The 12,808-nt window shown below is 63.0% G+C and overlaps 1 protein-coding gene across 9 annotated transcripts in view, besides 11 other annotated features; it reads right to left on the bottom strand.

The window, feature by feature from the left end:
- The window catches only part of APC2 (APC regulator of Wnt signaling pathway 2), a 27,015-nt gene extending 14,207 nt beyond the window's left edge, over positions 1–12,808 (bottom strand). The window contains exons 1-10 of one of the 9 annotated variants that reach the window (XM_005259475.3): positions 12,697–12,808; positions 5,896–6,054; positions 5,701–5,791; positions 5,427–5,607; positions 3,781–3,889; positions 3,538–3,654; positions 2,885–2,962; positions 2,634–2,732; positions 1,795–2,185; positions 978–1,073 (exon numbers count right to left, since the gene is read on the bottom strand). In XM_005259475.3, the coding sequence (XP_005259532.1) occupies positions 978–1,073; positions 1,795–2,185; positions 2,634–2,732; positions 2,885–2,962; positions 3,538–3,654; positions 3,781–3,889; positions 5,427–5,607; positions 5,701–5,791; positions 5,896–6,054; positions 12,697–12,750 (1,375 nt within the window). In that variant the 5' untranslated portion in view covers positions 12,751–12,808. Of the gene's footprint in view, positions 1–977; positions 1,074–1,794; positions 2,186–2,633; positions 2,733–2,884; positions 2,963–3,537; positions 3,655–3,780; positions 3,890–5,426; positions 5,608–5,700; positions 5,792–5,895; positions 6,055–6,719; positions 6,838–8,699; positions 8,918–12,696 lie in introns of those variants that run through there. The other 8 variants (XM_006722607.3, NM_005883.3, XM_047438031.1 and 5 more) reach the window with 8 other exon arrangements.
- Positions 2,152–2,668: an enhancer, noted in NCBI's record as "H3K27ac-H3K4me1 hESC enhancer chr19:1456369-1456885 (GRCh37/hg19 assembly coordinates)". NCBI's record gives its function as "activates a minimal SCP1, AML or CMV promoter by ChIP-STARR-seq in primed H9 embryonic stem cells {active_cell/tissue: H9 hESC(primed)}" and the evidence as "EXISTENCE:reporter gene assay evidence [ECO:0000049][PMID:30033119]".
- Positions 2,925–3,064: a silencer, noted in NCBI's record as "silent region_9717". NCBI's record gives its function as "represses an Ori minimal core promoter by ATAC-STARR-seq in GM12878 lymphoblastoid cells {active_cell/tissue: GM12878}" and the evidence as "EXISTENCE:reporter gene assay evidence [ECO:0000049][PMID:35858748]".
- Positions 3,465–3,584: a silencer, noted in NCBI's record as "silent region_9716". NCBI's record gives its function as "represses an Ori minimal core promoter by ATAC-STARR-seq in GM12878 lymphoblastoid cells {active_cell/tissue: GM12878}" and the evidence as "EXISTENCE:reporter gene assay evidence [ECO:0000049][PMID:35858748]".
- Positions 3,635–3,714: a silencer, noted in NCBI's record as "silent region_9715". NCBI's record gives its function as "represses an Ori minimal core promoter by ATAC-STARR-seq in GM12878 lymphoblastoid cells {active_cell/tissue: GM12878}" and the evidence as "EXISTENCE:reporter gene assay evidence [ECO:0000049][PMID:35858748]".
- Positions 4,498–5,129: an enhancer, noted in NCBI's record as "H3K27ac-H3K4me1 hESC enhancer chr19:1453908-1454539 (GRCh37/hg19 assembly coordinates)". NCBI's record gives its function as "activates a minimal SCP1, AML or CMV promoter by ChIP-STARR-seq in naive H9 embryonic stem cells {active_cell/tissue: H9 hESC(naive)}" and the evidence as "EXISTENCE:reporter gene assay evidence [ECO:0000049][PMID:30033119]".
- Positions 5,130–5,762: an enhancer, noted in NCBI's record as "H3K27ac-H3K4me1 hESC enhancer chr19:1453275-1453907 (GRCh37/hg19 assembly coordinates)". NCBI's record gives its function as "activates a minimal SCP1, AML or CMV promoter by ChIP-STARR-seq in primed H9 embryonic stem cells {active_cell/tissue: H9 hESC(primed)}" and the evidence as "EXISTENCE:reporter gene assay evidence [ECO:0000049][PMID:30033119]".
- Positions 5,763–6,394: an enhancer, noted in NCBI's record as "H3K27ac-H3K4me1 hESC enhancer chr19:1452643-1453274 (GRCh37/hg19 assembly coordinates)". NCBI's record gives its function as "activates a minimal SCP1, AML or CMV promoter by ChIP-STARR-seq in primed H9 embryonic stem cells {active_cell/tissue: H9 hESC(primed)}" and the evidence as "EXISTENCE:reporter gene assay evidence [ECO:0000049][PMID:30033119]".
- Positions 6,395–7,028: an enhancer, noted in NCBI's record as "H3K27ac-H3K4me1 hESC enhancer chr19:1452009-1452642 (GRCh37/hg19 assembly coordinates)". NCBI's record gives its function as "activates a minimal SCP1, AML or CMV promoter by ChIP-STARR-seq in primed H9 embryonic stem cells {active_cell/tissue: H9 hESC(primed)}" and the evidence as "EXISTENCE:reporter gene assay evidence [ECO:0000049][PMID:30033119]".
- Positions 8,871–9,070: a silencer, noted in NCBI's record as "silent region_9714". NCBI's record gives its function as "represses an Ori minimal core promoter by ATAC-STARR-seq in GM12878 lymphoblastoid cells {active_cell/tissue: GM12878}" and the evidence as "EXISTENCE:reporter gene assay evidence [ECO:0000049][PMID:35858748]".
- Positions 11,814–12,108: a silencer, noted in NCBI's record as "tiled region #2129; HepG2 Repressive DNase matched - State 4:PromP, and K562 Repressive non-DNase unmatched - State 8:EnhW". NCBI's record gives its function as "represses a minimal TATA promoter and a strong SV40 promoter by Sharpr-MPRA in HepG2 and K562 cells {active_cell/tissue: HepG2 | K562}" and the evidence as "EXISTENCE:reporter gene assay evidence [ECO:0000049][PMID:27701403]".
- Positions 12,758–12,807: a silencer, noted in NCBI's record as "silent region_9713". NCBI's record gives its function as "represses an Ori minimal core promoter by ATAC-STARR-seq in GM12878 lymphoblastoid cells {active_cell/tissue: GM12878}" and the evidence as "EXISTENCE:reporter gene assay evidence [ECO:0000049][PMID:35858748]".

Below are 12,808 nucleotides of genomic sequence, written 5' to 3'. Positions count from 1 at the left end.
GGGACAGGATGAGCAGGAAATGTTTCACCGGGACAGAGTTTGAAGATGTAAAGTGGCCGGGCGTGGTGGCTCGCGCCTGTAATCCCGGCACTTTGGGAGGCCGAGGTGGGCGGATCACCCGAGGCCAGGAGTTTGAGACCAGCCTGAGCAACACGGTGAAACCCCGTCTCTACTAAAAATACAAAAATTAGTCAGGTGTGGGGGCGGGCACCTGTAATCCCAGCTACTCGGAGGTGGAGTTTGCAGTGAGCTGAGATTGTACCACTGCACTCCAGCCTGGGCAACAGAGTGAGACTCTGTCTCAAAAAAAAGTTACAGCAAGACTTTTCTTTTTGAGACAGGGTCTGGCTCTGTTGCCCAGTCTGGAGTGTGGTGGCATGATCATAGCTCCTTGCACCTTTAACCTCCTGGGCTCAAGAGATCCTCCCACCTCAGCCTCCCCAGTAGCTGGGACTAATTTTTTTTTTGTAGTGATGGGGTCTCACTATTTTTGCCCAGCCTGGTCTCGAACTTCTGAGCTAAAGTCATCCTCCTGCCTTGGCCTCCCAAACTGCTGGGATTACAGGTATGAGCAGCCTCGCCCGGCCTCAATTACTTTTTATATTGACAAAGAGAAGATGTTGCAATGTCCTCAAACGTAAAACACCCCCTACAGTTCCAATTCTGGGCCTGTCTTCTATCTATCTTTGCCCTTCTGGTCCGTTCCCTGTTCTGAGCCCCAGGGAACTTAGGGCTGAAAGTCACCCCCGAAGCCTCAGACCAGATCGGGAGGCCACACGCAGCTCATGGGGACAGAGGGCCCAGGGTGACGGTCCACTCATGAGAGGTGCTATGTGACTCCAGGGAGTCTGTCCCTCTCCGGGCTCCAATCCCCAGCCCAAGCTCAGATGACCCAGCCTGTGTCCCTTTAGCGGCCGAGGAGCCACCACCTGTTCGGGGGCTGGAGGATGGCTTCCCAGAGGACCTGGGACACTCACCTAGCTCGTTCATGGCACGGCGGTACTCCTCATCAAAGGACAGCTTCATAACAGCACAGGTGGCCTGGCAGATCTGCGGCTCGATGGGGATCGGGGCTGTGGGCACAGGGACCAGATCAGAGCCCCCATTCCCAGGAAATGTCCCAGGTGACTCCCGAAGGTCCCGCAACCCGCCCGCCCCAGGCCTGAAGGATCCCGGGAGCTTTGCAAATGGCTGCAAAGTTGGGACTTCCTTTCCCAGCCTCTCTAAGATGGGATGATGGGGTGGCCTCTCTCACTCAGCCTTGGGAAGGGAGGCGAGGTAGTTCCTGGAGCACCACACCTTTCAGCTGTGCTTCTGCCCTTTTTAAAAATAAAACTGACGAGACAGGGTCTCGCTCTGTTGTCCAGACTGGAGTGCAGTAGCATGATCTCAGCTCACTGCAGCCCCAAATTCCTGGGCTCAAGCAATTCTCCTGCTTCTGCCTTCCAAAGTGCTGGGATCACAGGTGTGAGTCACAGCGCCCGGCCCCCATATTAACTTTGCGATCAACTGCAAAAAAAGAATCTCAAAGTCTGCACCCAACTTTCCAGAGTTACCCACGATCCATCCATGCATTCAGCGACTTCCCGAGCGTTTACTCTGCGCCAGGTACGATCATGGGCGGGTCTTTTCCCAACGTCAAATGCCCCCACAGGCCTCGGCCGGAGCCTGGTACTGCAGCCTCCAACGCCAGAAGGCAGGCAGCAAAGGCTGGAGGTCCTAGTCGCCCATCCCCCGGGAAGCCCTAGCTGCACGTTAATTGCGCGGAGGGGGCCCACCAGGCCAGGCACTCACCGCTGCCGGCGCCACCTCCCTCGGGCCCGCCGTCTCGGGCCTGCAGCCAGTCCCAGCAGGTCTCGCAGTAGGCCCGGATCTGCTCCAGCACGTGCAGGACGCGCATCTCCTTGCGCGCCAGGCCCTGGTCCGGCTGCGAGAAGACGATGTTGTGCAGCGCCGCGTTGGCGCGCATGCGTGCGTCCTTGGCGCCCGGTGCCCCTGGGGCCCCGGCGCGACCCCCGGCCGCGGCCTCGGTGCCGTGGAGGATTTGCAGCAGCAGAGGCAGACAGCCCGAGCGGCGCATGGCCACGCAGCTCTCGGGCGAGCTGGACATGGCCAGCAGCGTGCGCGCTGTATCCTCCTGGTCGCGCGTCGCCAACATGGACAACAGCCAGAAGACCACCTCCACCTGGGGGGAGGGCAGGGTCAGGGTGGGGTCCCTCACCTGCCCCCCGCACACCTGGAAACCCGGTCGGAGCCCTGTGACCCCTGCCCCGTCCCCAAGGGCAGCCCCACGCCCACCTGGGGGACAGATGAGGGGACGCTAGGAGGCTGCACACGTGCTTCGGGGAGGCTGGCCCCCCTCACCTGGCATTCCTAGGGTGGCCGCGCAGAGCCAAGGGACTCCACGGGGACGTCTATGGTGCCCCACTTAGCCCCCGCTACGGGACGTATTTCCCCATCCACCTCGCCAGGCCCGCAGCTTCTGCATGAGCTGCACGCCAGAGGGGCCTTCCTACACCCGAGGGGGTGCTGGATGGAGGCATGGGAGGGCACCACCACTGGCGAGGATGCAGACCTGATCCCCCTTCCAGCCCAGACAGCTGCGCCAGCCCCCGTTTCACCCTCCCCCTCACCTTGCTGTTGCCCGGCTGAGGGGTGCCATCCTCAGGGTGTGTGGGGACCTCTGTCTCGGGGTCCTCGTCCACCGGCACCGACTTCACCGCCAGCAAGGCCTGCAGGGAGAGCACCAGGGTCGGGGGTACAGTCCCAGAGCACCCAGTCTGCTCACCCGTGATGATGTGGGCGGGGGCGGGCAGAACTCGAGGAGCCCCGTTCTGCCTGGGCCGACACCACCCCTGGTCCCTGGCTCTGCCCCACCCGGTACCTGGGGCTCCGTCTGCTGCACTCGGTCCTGCGCCTCCAGCAGCTCCTTGTCAATCTGCTCCAGGCGCGAGGCGCGGATCTGCTCAGGACCACACGAGGGCAAGTGCTGGAGCTGACCCCGCCCCCGGCTCTGACCCCGCCTCTCCCTGGGATGACCCCACCCTGGGCTCTGACCCCGCCTCTTCCTGATAACCCCGCCCCAGGCCCTGACCCTACCTCTGCCTTCTCCCTGATCCAGCCCTGCCAGCTCCCTAAGCCCCGCCTCCTAAGATATGACCCCACCCACTGTCTAAACCCCGCCTTTAGTCCATCCCAGGCTCTGACTCCTCCCACTTCCCATTTGGGCTCCACCCAGAACCTAGACCTCGTCCTTCTAGGCCCCACCCACCTGCTGATCTGGCCCTGCCCACAGGCCATGCCACCTTCCACTGTCGCACCCCACCGCCCTTGTGCTCAGGCTCTGAGCCTCCTGACTCCACCCACCAACACCTCCAGCTTCTGGCCCCGCCTCCTGAACCAGAACCCGCGCCCCCCAACCCAGGAGGCATAAGACTCCTCCCATTACCCCAGACCCCGCCCATAATATCTGCACTCTGATTTGCCCACTGGCGCAGGGCCCCGCCTACCGCCGCGCCACCCCGCCCACCGCCGCACCTGTGCCCGCTGCACCATCTCGTCCGAGGTGCCGAAGCGCTCCTCCATCAGCGAGCGGATGTGCTGGGCCTCGAACTCAAGCTGCTGCCGGATCAGGTCCATCTGCATCGAGAACTGCTGGCAAAGGCAGGCGGGCGGGCCACGGTGAGGGGCGCCCGGGCCAGGCCCCGTTCCTCCCCCACGCCGCTTCCCGCACCCTGAGTGGGGCGGGCGCGCTGCCCCCTGGCTCCCCGGCCGGCTCACCGTCTCCACGTGCGGCAGCTCGTCCAGGCGCTTGGACAGGCCCTGCAGCTGAGAGTAGTACCAGAGCTTCTCCTTCTCCTCCTTCTCAATCTCATTCAGCAGGAAACACCTGGGGAGCAAGTCAGCGGGGGCGGGCTCAGAGGGCGGCGCCGTGTGTGTTTATTTTGATATTTGTAATCACTTGTTAGCGCTTACTGTATGCCAAGGTTAACAGGCAACATGGCAAGGTCTCTCCCGTGGCACTCCCCGAGCTAGGGTAAGGGGGGGGGGGTGGGTATTGAAATTAACTGGGGGATGCAAAAAAATTAAAGGAGAGAAAACAGTCTGGGCAACATAGCGAGACCCCCTCTCTAAAAAGGAAAAAATAAAAATAAAAAATATAAAAATAGCCGGCCGGGCGCGGTGGCTCACGCCTGTAATCCCAGCACTTTGAGAGGCTGAGGCAGGCGGATCACGAGGTCAGGAGATCGAGACCATCCTGGCTAACACGGTGAAACCCCGTCTCTGCTAACAATACGAAAACAAAATTAGCCGGGCGTGGTGGCGGGTGCCTGTAGTCCCAGCTACTCGGGAGGCTGAGGTGGGAGAATGGTGTGAACCCGGGAGGCGGAGCTTGCAGTGAGCCGAGATCGCGCCACTGCACTCCAGCTTGGGCGACAGAGCGAGACTCCGTCTCAAAAAAAAAAAAAAAAAAGTACAAAAGATTAGCCAGGCATGATGGTGCGCACCTGTGGTCTCAGCTACTCCCTGACATGGGAGGCTGAGGTGGGAGAATCACCTGAACCCAGGAGTTCGAGGCTGCAGTGAGCGATGATCATACCACTGCACTCCAGCCTGGGTGACAGAGTGAGACCCTGTTTCAAACTATATGTACTAAACAAAAAAAAAAAAAAGAGAAAGCAATTCCTTTGGAAATTCTCCTCCTTGAAGAAAGACTGAGGGAGGCTGTCCTGCCTCTAACACTTCTCCCATACTTGCTAACCTCCCTCCAGCTTACAAGGTAGCTTCAGGCTCAAAGTGCTCCAGGTGCAACAGAGGTTTCCCTTAACCTCATGGGAGACACGGCCATTCCGATTTTACAGGGCAGGAGTCTTAGGCTGGGAGGGTTTAGGGGAGCTGAGTGAGGTCCCACAGCAGAGCACAGACAACCCCACGCTGCTCTTCAATGGCCCCATCTGACCCCACATGACCCCTCCCAGCTGCACAGGGTGCCCAGACCCTGCCTCCCTCTGCTGGCCCTGAGCCCACGCTTCTTGGGCCACAGCTCTCTACAAAGACGGCTTTGAGCCCGCCTGGCTCCAGGCCTGGCTGAGCCCTGGCACCGGACACAGCCCGGTCCCTGGCGACGCCTGCGTGTCTCGGACCCCTGGGGACGTCTCCAAGGAGCCTTTCCCTCAGCCAGGAACGTCCCCCATCCTCTCTGAACTCCAGCAGAGGTCAGCCGGGCTGGGGAGGGGGAGGGAGGCCACGTGGGGACGAAGCTCCGAGGTGGGCGGGGTTGTTCGGTGGGCAGTGCCATATGCAAGTGGGTGGGGCGTGTGAGGTGTGGGCAGAGACATATGCGGGTGGGCGAATTAGAGGGCAGAGCCCGCTGGGGACCGAGTCATGCTCCAGCTGCCCGAGGCTGGGTTCCCACGCCCACTCACCGTTCCCGGTCCAGTTCCTCCAGCAGCCGGATGGTGGCCCGGCTCAGCTCCCCAAAGCTGTCCTTGGAGGGCCCGGAGCCGTGTACTGGGCTGCCCTCGGGGGTCCGGGCGGCAGGCTCCGGGCCCAGGGTGGGCGGCTGGAACTTGAGGTTGTACAGGCTGGTGATGTCCATCTGTAGGGCTGGATGGGCGGGGACAGGGCGGAGGTCAGCGGCCCTGCCTGCCTTTCCCCCCAGCCTCCCCCACTCCCTCTGCGGGTGGCCCCACCGCTCACCCTTCAGCTGCTCCAGCACCTCCGTCTGCCCCGAGGACACCAGCACTCGGGCCTCCTGCTCCAGTTTTCCCTGTAGGTGCTTCAGGACCTCCTGCAGGGGCGGGAAAGAGGGCGGGAAGCCATCAGCCACTGCACTGGGCTGCCGGGGGGCACCACCCCGGGACCCTAGCCCACCTCCTCCATGTAGGCCCCCACCTTCATGCCCGACGTCTCTGTCTCCAGCTTGGACAGGTGGCTGGAGTTGTCCCTTAGCTCCTGCCTCAGGTGGCTGTTCTCAGCCTTCAAGGCCTCCACCTGCCTCACCAGCTGCTCGTAGGGCGCCACGGAGCTCGCCATCTTCAGCTCCTGCAGCGTCTGGGATCACAGGGTCAGAGGGTTCAGCTGATGGTCTGGGGAGGGCGCGGTGATGCCTTCCGGACAGACGGCCCCTGACCTAAGCCCCAGCCGTCCTGCCTGATCCTGGGTTGGGGGGGGTCTCAGGCAGGAGTCACTGGTGTGGACAAGTACAGGCCCACGTGGTGGTGGCCAGGCAATCCGGGGCGCAGAGGGGCAGGTGGAGTGAGAGGTGGCCCCAAGGGGAGACAGAGGGGCCAGCAGACAGACGTACAGACAGCTGAACGTCCAACTGACCAGTCGACCGACAGACGATGGGTCGGCCTCTCCTTCCCAGCCCCCAGGACACATCCTGACAGCCGGACAAACACACAGACAGCTGGGACAGCCTAACCCAGCAAGCCGACTGGCCAGCCCAGCACCCCCAGGCTCACAGCCAGAGAGGGCGACAGACAGACAGACAGGACCCTCCCCCATAAAAGCAAGCCTGCCCAGAGGCTGACAGCCAGACACGCGGGGCGGACAGACCACCAGCTGTCCCTGCCGATGGACAATGAAAACACCACGAAGGCCAGTGGGTGACACCTAAGCTGTGCAGAAACGGCAGGACAGATGGACCCAAGCCCACCGCCATCACCGCAGCAGCCCCACGACCCTCCATCGGTGGCTGAGCTCAGGGTGGCTACCTGTGTGGCCCGCACCCCCTGCGCAGCCTTCAGCTGGTCCCTGCTGGCCCCGGCAGCCCCTGCCCCATCCCTTGACTCTGCCAGCGCGCTGGCTTCTTTGTGCCTCTGGCCGTCTTCTGGCTCTGGCCTGGCCTCCTCCCTCTGTCCAGCTGGCCGGCGCCTCCTCCCTCGGCTCGGCCCTCCCGCCGGAGCCCCCCTTCACGCCCCCCTTCCCTCTTTGTTCCTTTCCCATCAGCGCTCGCCTCCTCCCTCCGCCTTTGTCTCAGACGCACCAATGGCAGCCCATCCCTCTGCCACCTCCCCCTGCCAGCCTGAGCCCCTTCCTCACACCGGCCCTGTCCAGCCCACCTGCTCCTCCCCTCCCTCCTCCACCTGGCCACACACATGTATTCACCCGTCATTTGTTCTCTGACCCCCAGGTGCCCCCTCATCCCCTCCCCTCCCACCCAAATGTCACCAGGGGCACGGCTGGGACAGGAGTAGGGGTGGGGGCTCAGTCGCAGGTGGGAGGATGGAGTCGGGCTGTCCCGTCCTGCTCAGGGGACGCAGTGTGTGGCTTGCCATGTCATCCGGCTCCTTCTTGGTCTGTCCTGAGTCTCAGGGACCACCATTTGGCTGTTCCCAGAGGGAGAAACGAGGCCCTAGGAACCGAGGTCTGGCACCCAGATGCTGCCCCAGAGGGGCTGGGAAGTCCAGGCTGGAGGCCCGACAAGACCCGCCCCTCTCTGGCTTTGGGTTGCCCCTCTGAGGAACCTGCAGGGCAGGAGTGCCCAAGGGCAGGGTGGGAGGGGCACAGGGACTGGAAGTCAGGTGGCAGAGGCTGGCACCTCCCACCCTGATCCGATGATGTCCAAGGCTGTTCAGGTCTCCAGTGGGGATCAGGCTTGGGGTTGGGGGCTACACGCAGGGAGACCCTGGGGTCTGGCTCGAGCCCCATGTTCCAGCTGAGGTCACCATCCCATGCCCAGCCAGGTGGAAGGACCAGATGACGTGCAAAGCAACACATGTCTGCCTCCTGCTCCCCAAACCCAGGCCTCCCCCACGTGGTTCTTCTCAGCTGACCGAAGCCAAGCCTCAGACACCTTCCCTCTCCCCACATTCGGTGGTCATTTCTGCATCCTCATCAGACTAAGCTAGTCCCTCCAAGCTCTGCCCAGCGGGATCATGCCTCCCCCAGCTCCTGACACCCCTCTGTGAGGACATTCTGATCAGCCTCTTCCTGGCCTCCCACAGTCCCCCATGCACAGCCAGAGGGAGCTTTAAACGTCACAAGTGAGATCCCATTTCTCCCATGCTCAAACACCTTCCATGGCTCCCCAGTGCCCTCAGGATACGCTCCGACTCCTCCATGTACACCGCGACTCACTTAGAGGCTGGAGGCTCTCTTCTCTCAGGCCTTTGCACGTGCAGTTGCCCTGCCTAGAGCACCTTTTCTAAGTCCTGCCATCCCACACAGTGCAGCTTCTTCCACGAAGCTCTTCTGCCTACTTTCACCCCCAGGTTGCATCGTGTAGCCTCCTGGGGGCCTTCCTGAGCGATCACTCCCTGAAGGCACCATGACTGGGGGCTGGTCTTATTGAGCGGGCTGCATTTCAGGGGAGGGAGGCACAGGTATGGGAAGCCAGGCCCAAAGGGGCCTTTCTCCTTCCTTTAATCCAAACCCCCTCTTTCCAGAGAGGGAAACTGACACCCAGAGAGGTGCAGCAACACCCCCGAAGACACACCACTGGCCTGCCCATCCCTTCCTCCGATCACCTCAGGGAGGTCCGGATGGTGAAGCCCGTGAGTGGGTGTGTGCGCAGGACCGGCTGCAGAAACGCTGACGCCCAGCTCACCGGGACTCAGTTTCCCCTCCAGCTCCCACTCTGGGGAAATGGAGGGTCCAGAGTCTGTGCTGACGGGCAATGCTGAGAGCCAGGGATGGAAACCTCGACGCGAGGCGGAGGTCGCGCCCCTGCCCTCCTCCCCGAGGACACACACCCGCTTACGTGCAGCTGGGCTGGCGGGGCGCCTGGGTCTGGGGCCTCCTCCCTCTGCGCGGCTCCGCGGGCCCCACCGGAAATCCCGGCCCGGGGTGGCCTCGGAGCGCGCGGGCTCCGGGGTCTCCGCGGCGCGGGCAGGGGCTCCGGGGCGGACAAAGCCCGGTCCGGGCCTGGGCAGGCGGCGCTGCCGCTCCTAGCGCTGGGCGAGACCACCGCGAGCGGGGGAGGATGCGGGATGAGGGATGCGGGTGAGACAGCCAATGAGGGCGCGGGAAGACGGGCTGGTGCCATGGCAACAGCCAATGGCGGCCCGGGGCGGGGACCGGCGTCGGCCGCGGGGCGTCGGGCCTCCGCGCGGGCTCAGGGGCCGTGAGTGCGGGGGGCGAAACCCCCCCGAGGGAAGGGGGTGCCCCGAGGACCAAGATTCCTGTGTCCCGCACTTTATTGCAGGGTGCAACGGCCTCTTAAAACCTCCTGCGTCTGGATTTGCAGAATTGGAGAGTAAAACATCAAATCCTGGATGTTACATCAGCATCTTGGCGGGGGAGGGGTTTCCAGGGCAGTGGCCGGGCTGGGGCCAGGCCTGCACCCACCCCACAGGTCCAGCCTGGCCTGGTGCAGGTGCGTCAGGGTGGGACAGGGTTCGGGTCCAGGCTGGAGCTCCCTGAGGGTCCTGCCTGGTGGGGAGGGGAGAGGGGAGGAGGGGCAGGGCCACTGGGGAGCACCTGGGACGCTGCATCTCCCCACATTTCTCCCTGTCTCCCCAACGGAGCGTCAGATCCTCCTGTAACTCCGTTGCTCTTCATGTCCCTCTCTCTTTCTGTCTCCCCCTCTGTTCTCTGTCTCTCAATCTCTGTCTCCATGTGTCTCTGCCCCTGGTGGGTGGCACACTTAATTCACCCTCACGGACCGAAGGCCAGAGGAGGGAAGGGCCAGGGGTCCCAGGAGTCGCCATCTCCAGGTGTCCTGGATGCTCCATGAGTCCCTGGAAGCCATTTGAAGGTTTAACACACAGAGCCCGTCCCTGCAGCTCGGAGCAGCCCTTCCTGCTCTGGACACAGACTCACAGCACAGAAAGGGAGGCGACTGGGGCCAGAAGAGTGATTTTTTTCCGTGCTGGGCAGGCAGGGCAAATCATTCGCCGCTCAACCCTCGGTTTCCTCCTCTGTAAAATGGAGAGGAGGCGGAAGATTCTGCAAGGGCTGGTGCAGGGAATGATAGGAGAGGGTGGGAAGGTCCGAGTATTCAAGGCCCCGTAGACAAAGGCAAGGGAGGACCCGTGCTGTTTCCTGTTGGGCCTTGAGCTGAAGACCCGAGGGCCTTGTCCCGGGCCAGCACTGCCAGGGGCTGAGAGCCCTTCGGCCTGGCTGTCTGGGAGCCCCCAGAGCTGGACGCAGCTGTCCCCACTGGTTGGGTCTGGGGAGGCAATGCAGTGGGCAGACACAGGGGATCTTTTCTTTTTTCTTTTTCTTTTTTTTCTTTTTTTTTTTTTTGAGACGGAGTCTTGCTCTGTAGCCCAGGCTGGAGTGCAGTGGCACGTTCTCGGCTCACTGCAAGCTCCGCCTCCCAGGTTCACGCCATTCTCCTGCCTCAGCCTCCCGAGTAGCTGGGACTACAGGCGCCCGCCACCACGCCCAGGCTAATTTTTTGTATTTTTTAGTAGAGACGGGATTTCACGTTAGCCAGGATGGTCTCGATCTCCTGACCTCGTGATCCACCCGCCTCGGCCTCCCAAAGTGCTGGGATTACAGGCGTGAACCACCACGCCCGGCCTTTTTTTTTTTTTTTTTTTAGATGGGGTCTTGCTCTGTCCCCCAGGCTGCAGTGCAGTGGCGCCATCTCGGCTCACCGCAACCTCCGCCTCCTGGGTTCAAGTGATTCTCCTGCCTCAGACTCCTCAGTAACTGGGATTACAGGCATGTACCACCTTGCCAGCTAATTTTTGTATTTTTAATAGAGAGGGGGTTTCACCGTGTTGGTCGGGCTGGTCTCAAACTCCTGACCTCATGATCCGCCCGCCTCGAAGGGGATTTTTTTCTGGAGGCTGGAAGGCTGCCCTGAGAAGTGAACAGCAGTGATCAGGAGGAGAGGCGTTCCAGGCTGAGGGAAGATCAATGCATGCTTGGGACACAGGGGGTGTCTGGTGGAGCCATGGGGTAGGGCGCGTGGTGGGGTTTGACAGGTCAAGCCGGGGCAGAGCTGGGCGAGGCTGAAATGGGGTTGGGGATGCAGAGCCCAGGGCCCTGGCTTCAGCTCAGCCTTGTTGTCCCTGTGTCCCCCTGGGCATGTCTCTCTCTGGCCTCGGTTTCCAGTCTTGTTTACTGAAGGGTGGGTTGGATGATCCCTGCCTCCCCCAAAGAGGAACTAAGTCCCACCTCCCTGTGTAGTTTCAGATGTCTCAGCTCCCCAGGCCCCCATCAGGCAGGGGTTTGGGGGATCCAAGGTCAGTCCTGTCCTTGTATACATGGGGAAACTGAGGCCTGGGCCAGGGAACGTGTTGCCTGAGTTCACCTGTGCCAGCCAGGCCTCCGGAGTGACACTGAACCTCCCTTCTTATCCCTCTGGGGGTGGCCAGGGCCTGGAGGGCTGAGGGTACATGGGGGCTGAGACCCCAAGACAAGATGCCCTTGGCCCCAAATCTACAAAACATTATGTCCCTGAACAATCCCCCCCCACACACTAAAATCCTCGACCCTGTAAATCCTTGAACCACAGCCACACTCAGACATCACCAGACATTTCAGAGCCTCAAGAACCCCCCACAGCCCCCTAGGACTTCAGGAGACTGAGAGAGGTCTCCCCCTTCTCCCACTGCAGAACGCAGGGCCTAGCCCAAGACCCCGACCTAGGCTCCTCCCTGGGGTCCTCCACGCCCCCTACTGCTGCTGGGCTAAAGGGGAAGTTCCATGAAATGCTCACTCCCCCACCCCTGTCCTGTGACACCTCCCCGCAAGTCCGCAGCCTGGCACACGGCTCACTCTTGGAGTGTCTTTGAGCCTTCTGAGTCTGACCTCGAGCTGTCCCCGCCCCCTTGATGCCTCCTCTGTGCCAGGGGCTAGAGGCAGAAACAGGGGCGGCCCCCATCGGGAGCTGGGTGGGGACAGAGAAGGCACCAGGTCATCGCGGGAGGATAGAGACGGCCCGCCGCCGGCTGGGTGGCCGGGCAGAGCCCTGACCGGTGAGGAGGCCACCGGAGGTGGGGGAGGGTGGGGTAGGCCGGTCCAGGCCGCGCCCTGAAGCCTGACCGCCGCTATGGGCCTCAGTTTCCCCGGCGGCGAGTCGGCAGACGTGCGCCTCCGTCAGCACCGCGGACAGCTCCCCGGCCCCCGCCCCGCGTTCTCTTGCGGGCGCCTTAGCTCCGCAACGAGGCTCCGGCCTCGAAGCGTGACCTTGGGCTCCCCGCTGCACCCCCCAGCCTCAGTTTCCCCTCCAATGAGGGATGTCACAGCCGCGAAATTCAGACGATTCCGGAGGCTGGAGAAGCGCTGGGGTCGGGAGCGGACGGATACGAACAGCAGCGGCGGCGAACGTCAAAGCAGGCCATACGCTCGCGCCCAGAAGGGGAAACTGAGGCCCAAAGAAGCGCAGGGCGTGGCCCAGGCCCCCACCCTGCGCAGGGCCGAGCCTCCGCAGGATGCCCCCGCAGCCGCCCCCGCCGCCCCAGCTGGCGCAGCCTCCGCGTCGGCGCAGTGAGGAGGGGTCCGAGGGTCTCCTGCAGAGGCCGAGGGCTGGGCTGGGCGAGCCCTGCGCTTGCGCAGACCCGGGGCTGGGGGTCGCAGCGGCGCACGAGAGGGGCTTCCATCCCCGCCAGCCTTCCGAGGCGGTTTCCCGGCAACGGTCTCTACGGCGACGGCACTAGACCCCCGACTCTGCAGCCTCCGCGCGCTCGCCCCATGCGCCCCCCGCCGCCGCGCCCGCTGTTCCCGCGGTGTGGACCCCGCCCCGTTCCTGCGCGGCCCGGAGCCCTCCCCAACGGCTCGACCCACGCGCCCTACCTGGTCCCCGAAGAAGGCCGAGTGCAGCAGGCTCAGGAGCCCCAGGAGCCCCATGGAGCCGCGGCCGCCCCGGACCCGCCGCGCCCCGCCCCTCGGCGGCCAGGGTGGGGGT

Source organism: Homo sapiens, chromosome 19 (assembly GCF_000001405.40).
Source record: "Homo sapiens chromosome 19, GRCh38.p14 Primary Assembly".
NCBI classification, from domain to species: Eukaryota; Metazoa; Chordata; class Mammalia; order Primates; family Hominidae; genus Homo; species Homo sapiens.
Note: the sequence above shows the minus strand (reverse complement) of the source record. Positions and strands in the feature narration are given on the sequence as shown.